Consider the following 24996-nt stretch of genomic DNA (forward strand, 5'->3'; position numbering starts at 1 on the left):
CAGACCCTGTCGCTACAAAAAATTTAAAAATCGGCTGTACGTGGTAATGCACACCTGTAGTCCCAGCCACTTGGGAGGCTGAGGTGGGAGGACTGCTTGGGCCTGGGCAACAGGGTGAGATGCTGTCTTTTAAAAGAGTAAAGAAAAAAAAAAAGTTAACATTTATGGAATGGTGCTTCCTATGAGTGCCAGGCATTGTTCTGAGTGCTTTACACACATGAGCTCATTTAGTCTCACAACTCCATCGTAGTAGGTACGATTATAACTATTATAGAGGAAGAAACAGAGAGCCAAAAGCATGTCCTCCACTCCCCCAACACAGCATCCCAACCAGGACAGGGTTTATATCTTATTAAGTTCTGAATCCTCATAGTTTATCACAGCACTAGGCTGGTAGTACAAAGAATAAAGGAAAGAAGGCACTCCTTACCTCCTTATCTTCCTCCTGCTCCTACCCCAGCTCTTTGAACCTTGTCAGAAATTTGGTAGAGCTCAGGCAGACAATACTCCCATCCCTGGGAGTTCAGTTTTTACTCCTCCCACTTACACACACCTTTTTCCAGTCCCATCTGGAAGGGTTCAAATTTAAGAACCACCAAAGAACCACTAGTTTTCAGTGAAAACTAGAAGCAAAATGCCTGTGAAGAGGTAGCTCTAAAGACAGAGTACCAGACATTCACACCCCACTAGGGGCTGGTTTATCTGGTTTGATCAGCAGCCTCTGTGGGCTATGCAGGACTATTCAGGAGGACAGGCAGGAGTGAGCAGAGGACACCAAGGGGATGGAGACAGGTAGCCTCCCCTCACCTCCTTATACACTGGGGACTAGGATGGGCAGCTGGGGGCAGGGGCAGTTCGTGGGTTCATAGCAGCCTCGGTCCTCACCCAGGAAGACCATATCCACTTCATGATGTATGTGGTGATTTTTGTGTTTAAATCAAAACTGTGTGTTTGTGGGTGTCTCTTTGTTTATGTGGGAAAGAAAAATGAAATACAATAAGAAAGATGTTGGCAACTCAATTCTCTTACGTGAGGTTCAATTGACTCTTCAAACTTTATGTTTGAAAGTTTCCATAATTAAAAAAAAAACAGACAAAATTACAAAGAGATTGTTAGAATAAAATCTAAGTCACAACTGTAATAGATGGCCTCATATTTAAATAACTAAACGAGCAACATATTTAAATGAGGTAAAGATCATTTCATATGAACCTGACATGTTTTCAGAAAAAAAAAGACAACTTCAAAAAAGATGTATGTATTTTCTAGTACATTATGGAAAATATTCCGTAAGGGTCCAATGTTTTCTTTAAAGATTTTTTTTGTGATTACCACAGTAACTTCTACCCTGACAGAGGAAAACAAATAATTGACAGGATAATTTCTTTACTTTATAATTTCTAATAATACGTTATTAGAAGCAAACAGCAATACATCAGAAGATAAAAGTTTCTTCCATATTATCCTTCACTTAAAATTATATAATAGTTTTTTCAGAATTGTCAGGATAACTTACCTGGGTTTCCATCATTGGCTTTTGGAAAGGAAAAGTATCATGGTTGACACACCATAAAATATCATTATCCTCATTTTCTGAGGCTGCCATCAATAGAATACCTAAAAGTTTAATATACAAAATATTATTACATCATGTCAAATATGCATCCTCAATAACCTTAATAATTATTAGGTTAGTGCAAAAGCAATTGCGGTTTTGCAATTAAAATTATAAAACCGGGCTGGGCACGGTGGCTCATGCCTGTAATCCCAGCACTTTTGGAGGATGAGGTGGGTGGATCACGAGGTCAGGAGTCCAAGACCAGCCTAATCAACATGGTGAAACCCTGTTTCTACTAAAATACAAAAATTAGCTGGGCATGGCGGCAGGCACCTGTAATCCCAGCTACTCAGGAGGCTGAGGCAGGAGAATGGCGTGAACGCAGGAGGTGGAGGTTGCAGTAAGCTGAGATTGTGCCACTGCACTCCAGCCTGGGCGCCAGAGCAAGATTCCGTCTCAAAAAAAAAAAAAAAAAAAATTTTACAAAACCACACGTACTTTTATGCCAACTTAAAACTAGCATATATAAATATACACACACAACATCAATCTTTTTTTTTTTTTTTTGAGACGGAGTCTCGCTGTCACCCAGGCTGGAGTGCAGTGGCGCGATCTCGGCTCACTGCAAGCTCCGCCTCCTGGGTTCACGTCATTCTCCTGCCTCAGCCTCCCGAGTAGCTGGGACTACGGCACCTGCCACCACGCCCGACTAATTTTTTGTATTTTTAGTAGAGACGAGGTTTCACCGTGTTAGCCAGGATGGTCTCGATCTCCTGACCTCGTGATCCGCCCAACTTGGCCTCCCAAAGTACTGGAATTACAGGCGTGAGCCACTGCGCCCAACCGAACATCAATCTTTATAAACAAACAAGTTACAAAATAAAATAATTCCCTGAAAGACTATATAATTATTTTTAAGGTAGACTCCTTAAGTGTTCTCAATTTTAAACTGTATTTCTCTCAGATAAACATTTTTTTTTCACATTTTAGCATTTCTGAACTTAGGGCATATCTTGCAGTCAATGGGTTTATCAATTTAATTATTAATTTTATAAAAATATACTTAGTATATAAAAATGCCATGACTGACAAATTCACAATGTAATACAAGCTAATATTCAATGAAATACAGTTTATATACTGGTTAATTCAAACACACCATGAATAAAAATGATGAAGGTGCTAGAGGAATGGCAGAGATAAGTGTACTATAGAAGCAATTATCTGGGCCAGGTGCTGTGGCTTATGCATGTAATCCCAGCAGTTTCGGAGGCTGAGGCAGGCTGATCACTTGAGCCCAGGAGTTCGAGACCAGCCTGGGCAATAAAGTAAGACCTTGTTTCAACAAAACATGAGGCAGGAGGATTGCTTGAGCCGGGGAGGTAGAGGCTGTAATGAGTCATGACTGCATATTGCACTCCTGCTTGGGTGACAGTAGACACTGTCTCAAAAAAAAAAAAAAAAAAGGCAATTATCTCAACAAAACTTGCCAACACGGTGGCTCACGCCTATAATCCTAGCGCTTTGGGAGGCAGAGGTGGTAGGACTGCTTGAGCCCAGGAGTTTAAGACCAGCCTGGGAAACATGGTGAAACCCCGTCTCTACAAAAAATACAAAAATTAGCCAGGAGTGGTGGCACATGCCTGTAGTCCCAACTCCTCAGGAGGTTGAGCAAGGAGGATCACCTGAGCCTGGAAGGTTGAAGCTATGGTGACCCAAGATCCTGCCACTGCACTCCAGCCTGGGCAACAGAGTGAGAACCTTCCTCCCCACCCTCAAATGACTTGGAAAAATATTCTGTATTCATGGATTTGAAGACTTAACATAGTTAAGATGGCAACATGCCCCAAATTGATATACTGATTCAGCTATCACAATCCAACCTCACTTTTTTGTGTGTTTTTTGTTTTTGTTTTTGTTTTGAGATGGAGTCTTGCTCTGTCCCCCATGCTAGAGTGCAGCGGTAGGATCTTGGTTCACTGTAACCTTCACTTCCCCAGTTCAAGCGATTCTCTTGCCTCAGCCCACAAGAAGCTGTGACTACAGACATGCCCCCTACACCCGGCTAATTTTTGTATTTTTAGTAGAGACAGGGTTTCGCCATGTTGGCCAGGCTGGTCTTGAACTGATCTCAAGTGATCCACCTGCCTTTGCCTCCCGAAGTGTTGGGCTTACAGGCGTGAGCCACTGCACCCGGCCCCACCTCACTTTTTTTGCAGAAATTAACAAGGTGATTCTAAAATTCATATGAAAATTCAAGAAACTGAGAAGAGCCAAAATCATCTTTTAAAAAATCAGGCCAGGTGCACGGTGGCTCATGCCTGTAATCCCAGCACTTTAGGAGGCCAATGCAGACGGATCACTTGAGCTCAGGAGTTTGAGACGAGCCTAGGCAACATGGCAAAAGCCTATCTCTACAAAAAGTACAAAAATTAGCCGGGTGTGGTGGCACACACCTGTAGTCTCTCTCAGCTACTCAGGAGGCTGAAGTGGGAGGACAGCATGAGCCTGGGAAGCGGAGGTTGCAGTGAGCAGAGATTGTGCTACTGCACTCCAGCCTCGGCAACAGAGCCAGACCACCTCAAAAAAAAAAAAAGATCAAAGTTGGAATAGTCACACTTATCAATTTCAAAACTTATTACAAAGCAACGGTAATCAAGACTGTGCTACTGACATAAGGATGGATAATATAGACCAACAGAATAGAACTGAGAATCCAGATTCCATACATTAACGGGTAATTCACTTCAGACAGTAAGATGAAGACAATTCAATGGGGGATATAATAGTCTTTTCAACAAATGGTGCTCAGACAGCTAGATAACCACATGCAGAAGGATGAAGTCAGATTCCTACTTCACACAACATACAAAAATTATCACAAAACAGATCAAAAACCTAAATGTAGCAGTGAAAACTACACTTTCAACTTTTGAATTTCACTACAATTTCAAATTTTATTTTAGATTCAGGAGGTATATGTGCAAATCTGTTACTTGCGTATATTGCGTGGTGCTAAGGTTTAGGGTACAACTGATTCCATCACTCAGGTACTGAGCATAAGACCCAATAGTCCGTTTTTCAACCCTTGCTCCCCTACTTCCCTGACCCTTCTAGTAGTTCCCAGTTTCTACTGTTGCCATAGGGTATTTTCAAATACTTCACAACACCATATAATTTTAACAATTTTAAGAATATAATCTTAAATCTGATAGTATTTCAGAACTTACCTTTACTATAAAGAGCTCTATGTACTTTTGAAGGCTTTTCCACGGTTGAAGATGCTGAGAATCCAGGAGGTAAGCGGACATGAACCAGCGTCAGTGTATTAGGCCGTGCTAATGGCTGTCTGAATGGACAAGTGCTAAAATATAACCTAACACCTGAAGATGGGGTAAAATTATGCATCAGTAATAGAAAACAAGGACCTGAGGTAAATGTGTTATTGAAGCAATTACATACAGCAATGCAACACTCTGCTAAAACCATACATAACTTTCCTGACTAATTTTTATTTTTGGAGATGGAGTCTAGCTCTGTCGCCCAGGCTGGAGTGCAGTGGCGCCATCTCGGCTTACTGCAACCTCCGCCTCCCGGGTTCAAGCGATTCTCCTGCCTTAGCCTCCCAGGTAGCTGAGACTACAGGCATGTGCCACCACACCCGTCTAATTTGTTTTATTTTTATTTTTATTTTTTTTTGAGACAGAATCTTGCTCTGTCTCCCAGGCTGGAGTGTAGTGGCGCGATCTTGGCTCACTGTAAGCTCCACCTACCAGGTTCACACCATTCTCCTGCCTCAGCCTCCCGAGTAGCTGGGACTACAGGTGCCTGCCACCATGTCTGGCTAATTTTTTGTGTTTTTAGTAGAGATGGGGTTTCACCGTGTTAGCCAGGATGGTCTTGATCTCCTGACCTCAGGATCCACCCGCCTTGGCCTCCCAAAGTGCTGGGATCACAGGTGTGAGCCACCGCACCCGGCTCCCCTGACTGATCTTAAATTACCATATAGACTATCTGCTAAAATATATATCTAAGAAAATGTCACTCGAAATTGAGAGGTGAATCAATACATTTCATTAGAAAGAACTTGCAAAGACAAACCAAGAAATCTTGTGTTCCAATTCAGGCTTTGTTACAAAATGTCAGCCACTGCGCCTTTTAGGCTTGGCTTTTGTTTTGCTTTTTTACTGGTTTTTTGAGAAAAGATCTTGCCCTATTGCCCAGGGTGAAGTGTAGTAGCATAATCTCAGCTCACTGTAGCCTCAAACTCCTGGGCTCAAGTGATCTTTCCATGACAGCCTCCCAAGCAGCTGGTACTACAAGGCCGTGCCATCACACCTAGCTAATTTTTGTATTTTTAGTAGAGACGGGGTTACAGGGTTTCACCATGTTGCTCAGGTTAGTCTTGAACTCCTGGGCTCAGGCAATCTGCCTGCCTTGATCTCCCAAAGCGCTAGGATTACAAATGTGAGCTACCATGCCTGGCCTAGGTTTGGTTTTATATCTATAAAATGAAGAAACAGAATTAGAAAAATCTCCCAGTTTTCAAAATCCTTTATTTTACAAACTATTTATATGGCTTTACGGCAGATATAGAAGGAAAAATATATTTCTAATAATAAATTTCCAAATCTAAGAATTTTCAGAAGTTGTAACAGTAATAGCAGATATGTAAATAAAACAACATACCTGCATGTGTGACAGCCAATAACTGACAGTCCAGTGATTCAGAATTTTCAATCACTGCTATTTGGACAATTGGTTTAAAAACAGAACGATCGATGGTCCTAAAAGAAAGGAGAAAATAAAGTGTATTTTTAAAATGTGTCTGCTAAATTATAAGAAATATTTCCCATCAGAATGTTTACATATTTCCATATTTTCCTTTTTTTTTTGAGATGTAGTCTCACTCTGTCACCCAGGCTGGAGGAGAGTGGCGTGATCTCGGCTCACTGCAATCTCCGCCTCCCAGGTTCAAGCAATTCTCCTGCCTCAGCCTCCTGAGTAGCTGGGATTACGGGCTCGCGCCAGCACGCCCAGGTAATTTTTGTGTTGTTAGTAGAGACAGGGTTTCATCGTGTTGGCCAGGCTGGTCTTGAACTCCTGACCTCGCGTGAGCGTGATCCGCCCGCCTCGGCCTTCCAAAGTGCTGGGATTGGGATTACAGGCGTGAGCCACTGTGCCCGACCACATATTTCCATATTTTCTTTTTTTTTTCTTTTTTCTTTTTTTTGAGACGGAGTCTTGCTCTGTTGCCCAGGCTGGAGTGCAGTGGCGCCATCTCCACTCACTGCAAGCTCCACCTGCCAGGTTCACGCCATTCTCCTGCCTCAGCCTCCCAAGTAGCTGGGACTACAGGCACCCGCCACCACACCTGGCTAATTTTTTGTATTTTTAGTAGAGACGGGGTTTCACTATGTTAGCCAGGATGGTCTCGATCTCCTGACCTCATGATCCGCCTGCCTTGGCCTCCCAAAGTGCTGGCATTACAGGTGTGAGCCACTGCTCCCAGCCTTATATTTTCTAAATATGCTAAATAATTTAAGACTAGCTTCTTAGGAAAGTAATACAAGAGCAGCAAGAACTGGAAAAACTCTGGAATGTGTATTTTTTACATTTATATTATTAAGAGTAACCCTATTTTCAAACAAAGATCACAAAAAAAGACTAAAACCATTGGGTGAATGGTTGGTGGGGAGCAGTGTTCTCAGTGTCAAAGTATCATTACTGCTAATTAAAAAAGGAGAAAGGCCAGGTGCAGTGACTCACGCCTGTAATTCCAGCACTTTGGGAAGCCGAGACGGGCAGATAACCTGAGGTCAAGAGTTCAAGACTGGCCTGGTCAACATGGTGAACCCCCGTCTCTACTAAAAATACAAAAAAATTAGCCAGGGGTGGTAGCGCATGCCTGTAATCCCAGCTACTTGGGAGGCTGAAGCAGAAGAATCACTTGAACCCAAGGTGGAGGTTGCAGTGAGCTGAGATCACGTCACTGCAGTCCAGCCTGGGCAACAGACTGAGACTCTATCTCAAGGGGGAAAAAAAAGGGAGAAAATGGATCTTTATAATGTAGACATTTGGTTAAAATCACCTCAATGAAGCTTTCAACAGTGAGAAAACTGCTATTATGTGTCTCTTGATATAATGTAGTAAGACATTTCACACTGCCTATGTAATACTGGCTAAAAGATATATTACTGCTTGGTGAGGTGGCTCATGCCTCAAATCCTAGCATTTTGAGAGGCTGAGGCAGTCAGATCACTTGAGGCCAGGAGTTCGAGACCAGCCTGCTCAACATGGTGAAACCCCATCTCTACTAAAAAATATATAAAAATTAGCCAAGAATAGTGGCGCACATCTAGAGTCCCAGCTACTTGGGTGGCTGAGGCACGAGAATCACTGGAACTCGGAGGCAGAGGTTGCTGTGAGCCAAGATAGCACCATGGCACTCCAGACTGGGTGACAGAGCAAAACTCTGTCTCAAAGAAAAAAAAAAAAAAAAGAAAGAAAATATACATATATAAAATACATATAAACATCATATATAAAATATATTACTCAGAATCTAATTATAAAAAAAGATATATTCAGAAATTTGTATAATTATCCTGCCCTTCCTTCCAAACGTCAATATTATAAAAAAAAAAAAAGGTGGCCAGGGGGCTGTTTTATATTAAAGAGACTAACAACCAATCCAATTCATAAATTCTGATATAACTGGAGAAAAATGGAAAGAAAAACAACTATAAAAGATTTCGAAGCCAGGCGCAGTGGCTCACGCCTGTAATCCCAGCACTTTGGGAGGCTGAGGCATAAAAGCTGGCCAACATGGTAAAACCCCGTCTCTACTAAAAATACAAAAATTACCCAGGTGTGGTGGTGTGCATCTGTAGTCCCAGCTACCCGGGAGGCCGAGGCAGGAGAACTGCTTGAACCCGGGAGGTGGAGGTTGCAGTGAGCCAAGATCGTGCCACTGCATTCCAGCCTGGGTGACAGAGCAAGACTCCATCTCAAAAAAAAAAAAAAAAAGATTTTGGGGGCACGGTGGTTCACATCTGTAATCCCAGAATCCCAGGACTGTGAGAGGCTGAGGCAGACACGTCATTTGAGCCCAGGAGTTCAAGACCAGCCAGGGCAACATGGTGAGATCCCCTCTCTACAAAAAATACAAAAATTAGCCAGGTGGAGGTGTCCGTGCCTGTGGTCCCAGCTGCTTGGGAGGCTAAAGTTGGTGGATCACCTGAGCCTAGGGAGGTCAAGCACCACTGCACTCAATCCTGGGCAGCAGAGTTAAAAAAAAAAAGATTTTGGGGACTACTGGGCAATTTTAATATGGACTAAGTATATTGTTATGTAACAGACTAAAGGCATGTCGGTGGCTCATGCCTGTAATCCCAGCACTTTGAGAGGCTGAGACATGCGGATTGCTTGACCTCAGGAGTTCAAGACCAGCCTGGGCAACAATGGTGAAACCCCGTCTGTACCAAAAATACAAAAAATTAGCCAGATGTGGTGGCGCACGTCTGTGGTCTCAGCTACTCAAGAGGCTGAGATGTGAGGATGCCTTGAGCCTGGGAGGAGGAGGAGGCTGCAGTAAGCCACGATCGCACCACTGTACTCCAGCCTGGGTATCAGAGTGTGACTCCATTTCAAAAAAAAAAAAAAAAAAAAGTCATGATGTCTACAATGTACTTTCAAATGGCTCATAAGACAGGCAACAAAGAGGCAAAATGTTAAAATTGAGATAAAGAGTGTATTAGTTTTGCCGGGTGCAGTGGCTCATGCCTGTAATCACAACACTTTGGGAGGCCAAGGCGCGCAGATAACAAGGTCAGGAGTTCGTAACCATCCTGGCCAGCATGGTGAAACCCTGTCTCTACTGAAAATACAAAAAATTAGCCAGGCACAGTGGTGCGCGCCTATAGTCCCAGCTGCTTGGGAGGGTGAGGCAGGAGCATTGCTTGAACCCGGCAGGCAGAGGGTGCAGTGAGCTGAGACTGCAACACTGCACTCCAGCCTGGGTGACGTGACAGAGTGAGATTCCATCTCAAAAAAAAAAAAAAAAAAAGTGTATTAGTTTTTGTCACATTGTTCTTTTAATTTTTTTGTGGATTTGAAAAAAATTCCAGAAAAAAATTAGAGGGAAAAACAGAAAATTATGTGTTTTCAATTGTGTCTGCCTTCAGAATTTTTTTCTTGTCACTGAAGAATAAAACAAAACAAAAAGGCTGAGCAAGATAGCAAGACCCCAGGTCTACTAAAAATAAAATTAGGTGGGCATGGTGGCACACATCTATAGTCATAGCTACTCAGGAAGCTTAGGCATGAGGATCACGTCAGCCCAGGAAATTGAGGCTATAGCAGACTACAATTGCAACACTGCACTCCAGTCTGGGCAACAGAGTGAAACCCTGTCTGAAAAAAAAAACAAAAAGTTGATTTATTTCACTCTGATTGTAGCAATAATCTAGGCACAATGACAATAGAAGTTGAAAAATTTGAGGCCTTCATTATAAAAAGAGTGTTTGCAGGTGGGGTGCAGTGGCTCACGCCTGTAATCCCAGCACTTCGGGAGGCCAAGGCAGGCAGATCACCTCAGGTCAGGAGGTCGAGACCAGCCTGGCCAACATGGTGAAGCCCCATCTCTACTGAAAATACAAAAATTAGCCAGGCGTGGTGACAGGCGCCTGTAATTCCAGCTACTCAGGAGGCTAAGGCAGGAGAATCGCTTGAACCCGGGAGGTGGAGGTTGTAGGGAGCCAAGTCGCGCCATTGCACTCCAGCCTGGGGGACAAGAGTGAGACTTTGTCTCGGAAACAAAAAAAAAAGAGAGAGAGAGCGTTTGCAGCTTGACCAAGGTAGTTGGGATATGTGCAAATGGTAATGCAGATTGTCTGAAGACTTGGCTTCCGCGTTAGGTTCTTGTACTTATTTAGGAGTTAGATCTCAGGCAAATCATCCCTTAGTTTCAGTTTCCTCATGAATAAAATGGGTACTACAACTTTGAAATATTGTGTTCTGTACTTGTGTCAATAATCAGACCAACTAAGCTTGAACCACACATGTCTGTTAAAAGAGTGAGTAGTGGCCGGGTGCAGTGGCTCATGCCTGTAACCCCAGCACTTTGGGAGGCCAGAGCGGGTGTATTGCTTGAGTCCAGGAGTTCAAGACCAGTCTGGGCAACACGGTGAAGCCCTGTCTCTATAAAAAATAGAAAAATTCGCCAGGTGTGGTGGCATGTGCCTGTAGTCCTAGCCGCTCGGGAGGCTTAGGTGGGAGAATCGCTTAAGCCCAGGAGGTGGTGATTGCAGCAAGCTGAGATGGAGCCACTGCACTCCAGCCTGGGCAACAGAGCGAGACTCCATCTCAAAAAGAAGCAAACAAAAAACCGAAAGAGTGAATAGTTAAAAGTGGGGAAACTTTGAGACATGCAGTTTCCTAGTCATGATCCCTATGTAAAGTTGCCAGGAAAAACACGTCAAGCTGTACTTTACGTAGTAAAACCAGTCTACCTTATATTTCCAACTATCAAACATAAGAATAAAAGAGTCTCAAGCTGGGCACGGTGGCTCACGCCTGTAATCCCAGCACTTTGGGAGGCCAAGGCAGGTGGATCACCTGAGGTCGGGAGTTCGAGACCAGCCTGACCAACATGGAGAAAACCCCATCTCTACTAAAAATACAAAATTAGCTGGGTGTGATGGCGCATGCCTGTAGTCCCAGCTACTCAGGAGGCTACGGCAGGAGAATCACTTGAACCCGGGAGACAGAGGTTGCAGTGAGCCGAGACTGCACCATTGCACTCCAGCCTGGACAACAAGAGTGAAACTCCATCTCAAAAAAAAAAAAAAAAAAGTCTTGGCCAGGCACGGTGGCTCACGCCTATAATCTCCACATTTTGGGAGGCGTGGTGGGTAGATTACCTGAGGTCAGGAGTTAGAGACCAGCCTGGCCAACATGGCGAAACCCAATCTCTACTAAAAATACAAAAATTAGGCTGGGCATGGTGGCTCATGCCTGTAATCCCAGCACTTTGGGAGGTTGAGGCGGGCGGATCACGAGGTCAAGAGATCGAGACCATCCTGGCCAACATGGTGAAACCCTGTCTCTACTAAAAATACAAAATTAGCTGGGCATGGTGGTGCATGTCCGTAATCCCAACTACTCGGGAGGCTGAGGCAGGAGAATCGCTTGAACGCGCGAGGCAGAAGTTGCGGTGAGCAGAGATAGCACCACTGCACTCCCGCCTGGGCAACAAGAGCGAAACTCCATCTCAAAAAAAATATATATAAAAATTAGCCAGGCATGGTGGCAGGCACCTGTAATCTCAGCTACTAGGGAGCCTGTGGCAGGAGAATCAGTTGAACCCAGGAGGTGGAGGTTGCAGTGAGCCAAGATTGTGTCACTGCACTCCAGCCTGGGTGACAGAGTGAGACCCTGTCTCAAAAAAATAAATAAATAAATAAATAAATAAAGGAGTCTCTAACAGCTCCATTTCAAACATAATGTAGAGTGTCATCTCTTCAACATTCCTTGTCTTTTAGAGACATTTTGATGAGGGAATAATATATACTTTTAGAAGGCTACACACAAATAGTATAATTATGCCTGCAAATGAAATGCTTAATAATAAATTACATGTTACCTAGCAATGTTACCAGCAGCAGAGACAATGGCATTCTGTGACACAGAGGCAACTCTGCTCATTCCTTGTCCATCTTGTCCCAAATCATACACCTGTGAATACAAAATCATTCTCACTTAAACATGATTATATACTATACACATATTATTAAACTCTTTCTTTTAAGGGATCCTTTAATATTGGTATTTAATACAAACATGAAAACATTCAGATTCGAAATTTCATAGAAAGGGGACCCTTCTGAGAAGTGAGTTGGGCTTTTTTTTTTTGAGACGAAGTCTTGCTCTACTGCCCAGGCTGGAGGGCAAAGGCATGATCTCGGCTCACTGCAACCTCCGCCGCCCAGGTTCAAATGATTCTCCTGCCTCAGCCTCCCAAGTAGCTGGGATTAAAGGCACATACCACCACACCTGGCTAATTTTTGTATTTTTAGTAGAGGCAGGGTTTCATCATGTTGGCTAGACTGGTCTCAAACTCCAGACCTCAGGTGATCCGCCCACCTTGGCCTCCCAAAGTGCTGGGATTACAGGCTTGAGCCACCATGCCCAGCAGGCTTTTTTTTTTTTTAGTTACACAGTTCATAGGAAAAATTTAAGAGGTGGGAATTGTCTTCCTTAAAAATAAGGATTTATTTGACTCTTAATGGTATAATAATATTAATACTAACCTGTATTACTCCTTTCTCAGATCGTGTATATAAAATATTTCTAGAATTATCAATTGCAATTTGAAGAATAGGATCTAAAAGTAAGACAAAAAAAAAAAAGAGAAAAAAGTAAACCCAAGGATTAACAAAGCAAATACATTAGCTAGTTACAACAAACTGTTGAATCAGAACTTTGTATTCAGGGGCTTTCTACTCTCTTGCTTTGTAGTTAAATCCTAGGATGTTTGCATAAGATCCAGTCCAAAAAGCATTTTGGTCAGACAACACATGAAAAAAACACATGCTAAATACTGTGACTGGGTTATGAGCATAGAAAGTAAGTTATTTTGTCCTCTAAATGAATTTTAAGCCAAACTGAAAACAAATTCTAAGTTATTTTTTCATGAAATAACTTAGAAAATAAATTCTAAGTTATTTAAACATTAATGAATGTTTACTACATCCTAGAAACACAGAATAAGTATACCTGGTCCTTTATGTTAAGAAACTTCCAGTTTGGCCTAATTGATTGTGTGAAAGAAAATAATTTTAAAATTCAGTCATATTAATCTTTGGGTATACAGATCTTATTTTGCCAAAGCATTTTAAAAATTATTTCACCTGTTGAAATCTCTCAGTTCATTAAAAGCTAAGATATATTCTTTTTATACTGGAAATTTGTTCTAGACCAAGCAAACAATGTATTAGCTGTCTGAATGTCTGTCTCTCTCACATACATACACATATTTTGGTTTAATTATGTACAGCTGTTTTAGACGCAAGTTCTTTGATGCTACATTTATAGGAAATAAGTAAACTTGAGAACAAAATCCACACTTTCTCTAGGTTATGATCTCCTTACCCTTTAAAAGACCTTATGAATATATAAGAAATGCTACTTAACATAACAAATTGTTTCAATTAAGAATGATAATTTCTGAAGAAAACGTTGAGGGAACAATGTGTTAGAAATTAGTTGTACTTGCCAAATTTATTGTTTTCTACTTACCATCTTCTGAGAACGTGAATTGTAGCAAGGAAGGAACAAGGAAAGAAAGTGAGCTCTTTGAGTGGTTTATTTTCCTACATCTTTGGCTAAACCACCCTGCTTCAGCCTTAAAGAAAAAAGTAGAAAGACGACTTATAAAAGTATGTAACTCCCTTACAATAACTACTGTATATCCATATTTATAAAAACCTTCAAATCTTCATGAAATACCAGTTATAATCACTAATACCAGTTATAATCAACAAAACGAGACATATTATTCAAAATTAACTACTGAGTTTAGCCCATAATTTAAAATATCAACCAAATACTGACAAGGAAAGAATTTCAAGACATACTGTTAGATGAAAAGCCAGTTATGGGCTGGGCACAGTGGCTCGCACCTGTAAATCCTAGCACTTTGGGAGGCCAAGGCAGGTGGATCATTTGAGGTCAGGAGTTCGAGACCAGCCTAGCCAACATGATGAAACTCTGCCTCTAATAAAAACACAAAAATTAGCTGGATGTGGTGGTGCACACCTGTAATCCCAGCTATTGGGAGGCTGAGGCAGGAGAACTGCTTAAACCCAGGGGATGGAGGTTGCAGTGAGCTAAGATTCAGCCACTGCATTCCAGCCTGGGTGATAGACCTGGGTGATACAGTGAGACTCCATCACATTTAAAAAAAAAAAAAAAAAAAAAGCAATTACGAATTAAATCAATAATCCAAGTGAAAACACATATTTGCAAAAGTGCATTTTGTATTTGTATATGTGTATATACACACAAACACATATGCATAGATATCTATAGAGACATTGATGTGTGCCTTATGTTCCACGAGGACATACATAGAATAATGACTTTTACCTCTGAGGGCTGAGTTTTGTAGGCATGGTGTAGTCATGGGGACTACAGCTTCAACTGTATGCTTGAATATTTACCATAAAAATATATTAATGTCCTTATATAATTAGAAAACAAAATAAAGGCTTATCTTTCCCTACTCCATCAAGAGAGAAAAAAAAACGTTTACAAATGTCAGACTTACCTGGTAGGCTACTTCATATAAACAGCCATCCTTTCCAGCCAAGAAAATTCTGCCATTATCAGTGGAAGTTATTGTTAAAAGGTAAGTATTATCAGTAGGAAGAGAATATAAAGGATCTGGAAGCAACTGCATTCCACCAGACAAACTATCATTAAGAACTCCAGAACCTATTTAAGAAAGAATACATAAATCAGTTTATTAGCTACTCCACAGTTTTTAAAAATCTTTGCATTATCATCAGAATCTATATGTTTACTCAATTCTTTTTTTTTTTTCTTGAGACAGTCTTACTCTGTCACCCAGGCTGGGTGCAGTGGCCCGATCTCAGCTCACTGCAAGCTCTACCTCCCGGGTTCATGCCATTCTCCTGCCTCAGCCTCCCGAGTAGCTGGGACTACAGGCGCCCGCCACCATGCCCAGCTAATTTTTTTTTGTATTTTTAGTAGAGGCAAGGTTTCACCGTGTTAGCCAGGATGGTCTCGATCTCCTGATCTCGTGATCCGCCTGCCTCGGCCTCCCAGAGTGCTAAGATTACAGGCAAGAGCCACCATACCCAGCCTTACTCAATTCTTACTGACAATTAACATAGTCAACAGCTTCTATAATATACATTTTAAAATTACTAAAAGAAGTCTGATACAATTTGATAATTCAAGTTAAACAGAACCTGCAGAGTGTGTGAGTGTGTGTGTGTGTGTGTGTGTGCCTGTGTGTTTATTATATAGTAAGATAATAAACAAGAAACTAACCCGGCCGGGTGCCGTGGCTCATGCCTGTAATCCCAGCACTTTGGGAGGCCCAGGTGGGCAGATCACCTGAGGTCGGCAGTTCAAGACCAGCCTGACCAACATGAAGACACCCCGTCTCTTCTAAAAATACAAAATTAGGCCGGGCACAGTGGCTCACGCCTGTAATCCCAGCACTTTGGGAGGCCAAGGCAGGTGGATCACGAGGTCAGGAGTTCAAGAACAGCCTGGCCAACACAGTAAAACCCTGTCTCTACTAAAAATACAAAAAAATTAGCTGGGTGTGGTAGTGGGTGCCTGTAATCCCAGCTACTTGGGAGGCTGAGGCAGGAGAATCGCTTGAACCTGGGAGGCAGAGGTTGCACTGAGCCAAGATTGCACCACTACACTCCAGCCCGGGCGACAGTGCAAGACTCCCTTATCAAAAACAAACAAACAAACAAAAAAACAAAATTAGCCGGGTATGGTGGTGCATGCCTGTAATCCCAGCAACTCAAGAGACTGAAGCAGGAGAATCACTTGAGCCTGGGAGGCAGAGGATGCGGTAAGCCAAGATCACGCCATTGCACTGCAGCCTGGGCAACAAGAGCGAAAATCCGTCTCAAAAAACAAAACAAAACAAAACAAAACAAAAAACTAACCCAATGTTAACTTGTGGAAAAGAGCCTGAGGATTTGGCAGTAATAATCATTAATGTGAGTCAATGGAATTCAACATTTCACCCAGATTAGCTTTTAACTGTAATATCAATTGGCCAAAATACTATTATTTTAAAAAACGTTAACATGTGGGTTGCCATACCTGTTTGCAAATTAGCATAGCTGAGTCCAAGAATTACTATGTCTACAGGGGTCGCCAAAACCAGGAGGTGTCGCACATGAGGTTGAAAGATGCCTAAGATAAAGTAGACACAGGGCAGGAATACTTTCAGCATTTAAGCACTAACAGAGTAAGCTTTTATTACCATTAAAGTGAGCTACTAATTAAATGGTATATGAAAAGTCTGGATGCAGTTTAGTCAATTCTGTTGTTAAAAATATTATTATGTATGATCATTTAAATAAGTAAATTTTGAATGTCATCAAGATAATGAAGAGGAAAAAAAGTTAATAGCAGTGGAAAAGAACCACCTTAGAAAACAATCACTTCAGTATTTAATGCTATTTTAAAAGTGTTATATTACAAAATAGTTTAAATATATTAAAATATAGAGATGTATATTTGTATACCCATGTTCATAGCAGTGTTTTTCACAATAACTAAAAGGTGAAAACAAAATCCAAGTGTCCATCGATAGATGCATTAAAAAAAATGACATATATATATATACACACACACACACAAAATGGAATACTACTGAACTTTAAAAAGTAAGAAAGTTGGCCGGGCACGCCTGTAATCCCATGGGAGGCTGAGGCAGGCAAATCACCTGAGGTCAGGAGTTTGAGACCAGCCTGGCCAACATGGTGAAACCCCATCTCTACTAAAAACAAAAAATTAGCCGAGTGTGGTGGCACGTGCCTGTAGTACCAGCTACTTGAGAGGCTGAGGCAGGAGAATTGCTTGAACCCGGGAGGCAGGGGTTGCAGTGAGCCGAGATCACGCCATTACACCCCAGTCTGGACGACAGAGTGAGACTCCATCTCAAAAAAAATAAAAAAATAAAAACATAAAAGGAAAAATGTTCTGATGCATGCTGTAACACAGATGAACCTTGAGGACATAGGTTAAATAAAATGAGCCAGTCACAAAATGACCAATATAGTACCATATGATTCCATTTATATGAGGAAACCTAGAATAGTCAAATTCTTACAGACAAAAAGTGGAATGGTTACTACCAACTGCTGAGGGAAGGAGGAACAGGAGTTTTTAGTTAATAGGTACAGTTTCCATTTTACAAAATACAGAGTTCTAGATATAGATGGTGGTGAAGTTTACACAATAACGTGAATGGACTTAATACCACTGAAGTATAGGCTTAAAAACAGTTAAGATGGCAAAGTTTGTATTATGTGTATTTTACCACAATTAAAATATATATAATAGATTTCATTTTGAAATGCAAATAAAAGCTAGACAATTTTAGAAAATAAAACTTACACCTATAGTTATCTACACAAGAAAAGATTACAACCTTGATAATAGTATATAGCAATATTTATACACTTAATGCATCTCTTTTAGATTCTATGTAAAGGACATACATTTGCTTTGCTTTTCTTTTTGAGACAGAGTTTCACTCTTGTTGCCCAGGCTGGAGTGCAGTGGCTCGATCTCGGCTCACTATAACCTCTGCCTCCCGGGTTCAAGTGATCCTCCTGCCTCAGCCTCCCGAGTAGGTGAGATTACAGGCATATGGCACCATGCCCAGCTTATTTTGTATTTTTAGTAGAGACACGGTTTCACCATGTGGTCAGGCTTGTCTCGAATTCCTGACGTCAGTTGATCCACCCGCCCCAGCCTCCCAAAGTGCTGGGATTACAGGCGTGAACCAACGCACCCAGTGTCTTTATTTCTTCTTTTTTTTTTTTTTTTTTTGAGACAGGGTCTTGCTCTGCTGCCCAGGCTGGAGTGCAGTGGCAGAATCAAGGCTTACTGCAGCCTTGTCCTCCTATGCTCAAGCGATCCTCCCGCTTCAGCCTCATGAATAGCTGGGACTACAGGCATGCACCACCATGCCTGGCTTATGTTTCTGTTTTTTGCAGACAGGGTATCACCATGTTGCCCAGGCTGGTCTTGAAGTCTCAGACTCAGGTGATCTGCTCGCCTCAGCCTCACAAAGTGCTGGGATTACAGGTGTGAGCCACCACACCCAGCCTGAAAATATATTTTCAATGCAAGTAAATAAATAGTGTATAAAATGTCGGTTTGGGCTGGGCGTGGTGGCTCACGCCTGTAATCTCAGCACTTTGAGAGGCAGAGACGGGCGGATCACTTGAGGTCAGGAGTTCGAGACCAGCCTGACCAACATGGTGAAACCCTGTCTCTACTAAAAATACAAAAATTAGCCGGGCCTGCTGGCGGGCGCCTGTAATCCCAGCTACTCGGGAGGCTGAGGCAGAAGAATCGCTTGAACCCGGGAGGCGGAGGTTGCAGTGAGCCGAGATCGTGCCATTGCACTCCAGCCTGGGCGACAGAATGAGACTCCATCTCAAAAAAAAAAAGAAGTCTGTTTTTACTTAACTGAGTATCTATAATTGCAAAATGGCCATAATCTTAAAAAATTTCACTTAGGCCTTGCAAAAAAGTAATTTTTGTCTATTATTTCCTCCTATAAAAAGGTACATTTGGCTGCACAGTGGCTCACATCTGTAATACCAGGACTTTGAGAGGCCAAGGTGGGCGGATCGCTTGAGGCCAGGTGTTAAAAGACTAGCCTGGACAACATGGCCAAACCACATGCTACTAAAAATACAAAAATTAGCCGGGAATGGTGGCACATGCCTGAAATTCCAGCTACTCAGGAGCCTGAGGCAGGAGAATCGCTTAAACCCAGGAGGCGGAGGTTGTAGTGAGCACCAAGGTGACTCCACTGTACTCCAGCCTGGGTGACAGTGAGACACTGTTTCAAAAAAAAAAAAGTACGGTTAAAGAATGTGTGTGTGTGTGTATATATATATATATTTATTTATTTGTTTGTTTGTTTGTTTGTTTTTCAGAGGCGATGTCTCACTCTGTTGCCCAGGCTGGAGTGCAGTGGCGTGATCTTGGCTCACTGCACGCTCCACCTCCCAGGTTCACACAATTCTCCTGCCTCAGCCTCCCAAGTAGCTGGGACTACAGGCGACCACCACCAAGCCCAGCTAATTTTTTGTATTTTTAGTACAGATGGGGTTTCACTGTGTTAGTCAGGATGGTCTCGATCTCCTGACCTCATGATCCACCCACCTTGGCCTCCCAAAGTGCTGGGATTACAGGCTCAAGCCACCATGTCCAGCCAAGAATATATTTTAAATTTAAATCAATCAATTCTCCTTCCTAGTAACTCTGATAAGAGATTTGGCATTATGCTGGGCATGGTGGCTCACGTCTGTAATCCCAAACACTTTGGGAGGCCGAGGTGGGCGGATCACCTGAGGTCGGGAGTTCAAGACCAGCCCGACCAACATGGAGAATTCCCATCTCTACTAAAAATATAAAATTAGCCAAGCGTGGTGGTGCATGCCTGTAATCCCAGCTACTTGGGAGGCTGAGGCAGGAGAATCGCTTGAACCCAGGAGGCGGAGGGTGCGGTGAGCCGAGATCACGCCATTACACTCCAGCCTGGGCAACAAGAGCAAAATTCCATCTCAAAAAAAAAAAAAAAAAATAGAGATTTGGCATTATGAGGGTGAAAGAGTAAGTCAAACAATGCTTGTGATATCTACAAGATTTAATTTACTCTGAACTCTGTTCTCACTTCCATGGGCTATCAGGATTATGGCCAGGGCATGGCAGCTCATGCCTATAATACCAGCACTTTGGGAGACCGATGTGGGAGGATCACCTGAGGTCAGGAGTTCGAAACCAGCATGGCCAACATGGCGAAACCCTGTCTCTACTAAAAATATAAAAATTAGGCGTGGTGACATGCGTTTATAATCCCAGCTACTTGAGAGGCTGAGGCAGGAGAATCGCTTGAACTCAGGAGGCGAGACTGCAGTGAGCACCAAGGTGGCTAAACTGCACTCTAGCCTGGGCAACAGAGTGAGACTCTGTAACAGAAAAAAAAAGAAAGGTACATTTAAAGGATATATTTTAAATTTAAATCAATCAATTCTCCTTCTCAGTAACCCTGATAAGAGATTTGGCATTATGAGGGTGAAACAATAAGTTAAACAATGCTTGTGACGTTTCTAAGATTTACTCTAAACTCTGTTCTCACTTCCACGGGCCATCAAGAATATGGCCAGGGCACGGCGGCTCACGCCTGTAATCCCAGCACATTGGGAGGCCAAGGTAGGCAAATCACCTGAGGTCAACAGTTCAAAACCAGCCTGGCCAACATGGCAAAACCCTGCTCTACTAAAAATATAAAAATTAGCTGGGCATGGTGGCACATGCCTGTAATCCCAGCTACTTGGAAGGCTGAGGCAAGAGAATCGCTCAATCCTGGGAGGCGGAGGCTGCTGTGAGCGGAGATCACGCCACTGCACTCCAGCCTGGGCAACAGAGCGAGACTCTGTCTCAAAAAAGAAAAAGACTAAAAAAATGGCCAGGTGCAGTGGCTCACAAGTGTTAACCCAGCATCCCTGAGGTGGGTGGATTGCTTGAGCACAGGAGTTCAAGACCAGCCTGGGCAACATGGCAAAACCCCATCTCTACAAAAATTAGCCTGGTGTGGTAGCACAAAACTGTAGTCCCAGCTACTTGGGAGGCTGAGGTGGGAGGGTCTCCTGAGCCTGGGAGGTTGAGGCTGTAGTGAGCCATGATCATGCCACTGCACTCCAGCCCGGGTGATAGAGTATAAGACCTTAATCTCAAAAAAAAAAAAAAAAAAAAAAAAAAAGAGAAAGACAGACTAATAAAATGCAGACACTAAAATTTTTCTTAACATTAAATTCAGCAATTAATGAAAAATCTATAGTGCAAAACCTTCAGGTATATCAAGAAAGAGCAGTAAAAAGCAAATAAAATAAAATTCAAAAAATTACAGTTTAACATTTTTAAAGGCAGTGTCACTTATACCATTAAAGTAAACAGTTAAACATTAATAATCACTTTACATATTTCTAATTAGAATTCAAAATAAAACTTCAATGGAGAATACAATTGTTTAAAAAAGGGTGTTGTCAGCCAGGCGCGGTGGCTTACATCTGTAATCCCAGCACTTTGGGAGGCTGAGGCGGGCGGATCACCTGAGGTCAGGAGTTGAGACCAGCCTGGCCAACATGGCGGAGCCCCGTCTCTACTAAAAATACAAAAATTAGCTGGGTGTGGTGGCGCACGCCCGTAATCCCAGCTATTCGGGAGGCTGAGGCAGGAGAACTGCTTGAACCCAGGAGGCGGAGATTGCAGTGAGCCAAGATTGCGCCACTGCACTCCAGCCTACTCGATGGAACGAGACTCCATCTCGAAAAAAATGTGTGTTGTTGTTCAGGTCTATACCATTTGGAGTTTACATATACAAACATAATCTCTTCCTTATAGTTTTATTTCTTACCTGCTTTTGGCTTCACAAGCCCCACAGCAAGAATAGTCTCACTAAGTCCATCAAAATAGGCAAGGTCTCCTCTGTGAATAAATGAAGAAAAACATGTTACACATATAAAGCAAATAGGCCAGATGTGGTGGCTCATGTCTTTAATCCCAGTACTTTGGGAGTCTGAGGCAGGAGGACTGCCTGAGCCCAGAAGTTCAAGACCAGCCTGGGCAACATAGTGAGACTGTCTCTACAAAAAAGAAACAAAAAATTAGCCAGGCATGGGGGTGTGAGGCCACTGAGTTGGCAGGATCGCAAAGGCCTGGGAGGTTGAGGCTGCAGTGAGTAGTGATCATGCCACTGCACTCCAGCCTGGGTGACAAAGTGAGAGCCTGTCTCAAAAAAGAAAAGAAAAGAAAAACAGAAAACCAAGTATTATCTTACAATGATCTTTATTATTATTATTACTATTATTTTTGAGACAAGGTCCAGCTCTGTCACCCAGGCTGAAGTGCAGTGGCACAATCTTGGCTCACTGCAATCTCCACTTCACACCTGGCTAATTTTTGTATTTTTTGTAGAGACAAGGTTTGGCCATATTGCCCAGGCTAGTGTTGAACTCCTGAATGCTCTTTATTAGTTAAATAAATTTAGACACAGAATATAATGAAAAGACTGGGTGGGCACAGTGGCTCACACCTGTAAACCCAGCACTTTGGGAGGCCGGGGTGGGCGAATCACAAGGTCAGGAGATTGAGGCCATCCTGGCCAATGTGGTGAAACCCCGTCTCTACTAAAATACAAAAAATTAGCCCGGCATGGTGGCGCACGCCTGTGGTCCCAGCTACTCGGGAGGGTGAGGCAGGAGAATCACTTGAACCCGGGAGGCAGAGTTGCAGTGAGCCGAGATCACACCACTGCACTCCAGCCTGGCTAGAGAACGAGACTCCGTCTCAAAAAAAAAAAAGACTGGGAGAGGTGGCTCATGCCTGTAATCTCAGCACTTTGGGAGGGTGAGGCAGGAGCCCAGGAGAGTTCAAGACCCTGGGAAACACAGTGAGACTTGGTCTTTATGAAAAATTTATATATATATATAACTTTTTCATTTTATATATATTGAATATATAAAAATATTTTTCATTATATATATAATGAAAAAATAAACAAGCAAAGAAAACTGTTTCAGTTCCAAGACCCAGGGATCCAGACCTGCTTATGGCTAAGGATGAACTAGAAAAATAGGGAAATACAAAAATAGAAAATGCTGCTCCCCATTCCAAACATCTCCACAACAGGGCTGCACATCAAGTAATAGCAATCTACTGCTGGGGCAGGGATAAGGGTAAGAAGAGGGCCATCTTACAAGGATGGAATCACAGGAAGAGCCTAAGACTGAGGATGTAAGAGGAACACTGAGAAAAAATCTCCAGTAAACCAACTTGCACCCTAAGTACAACAACAGAACCCAAATCCAGCTCAAGTCCTGACCTGGAAAAAGGCAATTCCCCATATAATAAAGATCTGCTATACCTTAGCCAAGGAAAAGACATGCCCATTTCTAAGAATAAATACCACTTGCTACTTACTTACAGTATCTACTGTCTTAACATGATTTCTGGCTTTCAATAAGAAATCATGAGACACAAAATAACAAGAAAAAAAACCCCAGTGTCAAGAAACAAAGTAATCAATAGAACCAGACTCAGCTATGAATCCAAACTATCAGACAAGAAATGTAAAGTAACTATGAACTATACATATAGGCTTTATATAGGAAAAATTACCTAATTGACTATATGTACAAATAGGTAAAGTTGGGAGGTTGAGACGTGTGGATCACTTGAGGCCATGAGTTCAAGACCAGCCTGGCCAACACAATGATACCTGTTTCTACTAAAAATAGAAAAAATTAGCCAGGCATGGTGTCCCAGGCCTGTAATCCCAGCTACTCCGGAGGCTGAGGCATGAAAATCACTTGAACCTGGGAGGTGGAGGTTGCAGTGAGGCAAGATGATACCACTGCACTCAAGCCTGGGCAACAGAGCGAGACTCTGTCTCAAAAAAAAGGGAGAAATAAAACAGACAAAAAAAAATAGGTAAAGAATTTCGACAAAAAGATAAAAATTATAAGAAGTCAGCGAGGCTGGGTGTGGTGGCTCACGCCTGTAATCCCCAGCATTTTGGGAGGCTGAGGCGGGTGGATCACGAGGTCAGGAGATCGAGACCGTCCTGGCCAACATGGTGAAACCCCGTCTCTACTAAAATACAAAAAAAAATTAGCTGGCCATGGTGGCACACGCTTGTATTCCCAGCTACTCAGGAGGCTGAGGCAGGGGAATTACTTGAACCAGGGAGGAGAAGGTTGCAGTCAGCCAAGATCTTGCCACTGCACTCCAGCCTGGGCAACAGAATGAGACTCAGTCTCAAAAAAAAAAGCCAATGAAGGCCAAGTGCGGTGGCTTACGCTTGTAATCCCAGCACTTTGGGAGGCTGAGGTGGGCAGGTCACCTGAGGTCAGGAATTCGAGACCAGCTTGCCCAACCCGGTGAAACTCCGTCTCCACTAAAAATACAAAAATTAGCCGGGTGTGGTGGTGCATGCCTATAATCCCAGTTACTCGGGAGGCTGAGGCAGGAGAATCACTTGAACCCAGGAGGTTGAGGCTGCAGTGAGCCGAGATCATGCCACTGCACTCCAGCCTCAGCAACGGAATGAGATAAAAAAAAAGGGGGGGGGGTCCAGGCGCAGTGGCTTACACCTGTAATCCCAGCACTTTGAGACTCCGTCTCCCAAAAAACAGGGAGATAGAGACAGAAAGTGGAAAAACAAAAAACAGAATGGAGCATCCAAAATGAGGTATATAACAAAAGTATAGCTGAAATTTCTGAAGAAAGAGAATGTATCAGAATATTTCAAGATAATGGCTGGGCTGGGTGCGGTGGCTCATGCTTGTAATCCCAGCACTTTGGGAGGCCCAGGAGGGCAAATCACTGGAGGCCAGGAGTTCAAGACCAGCCTAGTCAATATAGTGAAACCCCATCTCTAATAACAATACAAAAATTAGCCAGGTGTGGTGGCCCATACCTGTAGTCCCAGCTACTCCAGAGGCTGAGGCAAGAAGTGCTTGAACCCAGGAGGTGGAGGTTGCAGTGAACCAAGATAGTCCACTGCACTCCAGCCTGGGCGACAGAGCGAGACTCTGTCTCAAAAAAAAAAAAAAAAAAAAGACAATGGCTGA

General features: G+C 42.8%; 1 protein-coding gene across 6 annotated transcripts in view; it reads right to left on the bottom strand.

The window, feature by feature from the left end:
• The window catches only part of NUP155 (nucleoporin 155), an 82970-nt gene that overhangs the window by 48165 nt on the left and 9809 nt on the right, over positions 1-24996 (bottom strand). For all 6 annotated transcript variants that reach the window (NM_001278312.2, NM_153485.3, NM_004298.4 and 3 more), the window contains exons 4-12: positions 21780-21850; positions 16436-16528; positions 14889-15055; positions 13859-13964; positions 12871-12944; positions 12204-12295; positions 6248-6345; positions 4789-4941; positions 1517-1617 (exon numbers count right to left, since the gene is read on the bottom strand). In NM_001278312.2, the coding sequence (NP_001265241.1) occupies positions 1517-1617; positions 4789-4941; positions 6248-6345; positions 12204-12295; positions 12871-12944; positions 13859-13964; positions 14889-15055; positions 16436-16528; positions 21780-21850 (955 nt within the window). The remainder of the gene's footprint in view (positions 1-1516; positions 1618-4788; positions 4942-6247; positions 6346-12203; positions 12296-12870; positions 12945-13858; positions 13965-14888; positions 15056-16435; positions 16529-21779; positions 21851-24996) is intronic.

The sequence above is a fragment of the Homo sapiens genome, chromosome 5 (assembly GCF_000001405.40).
Source record: "Homo sapiens chromosome 5, GRCh38.p14 Primary Assembly".
NCBI lineage: Eukaryota > Metazoa > Chordata > Mammalia > Primates > Hominidae > Homo > Homo sapiens.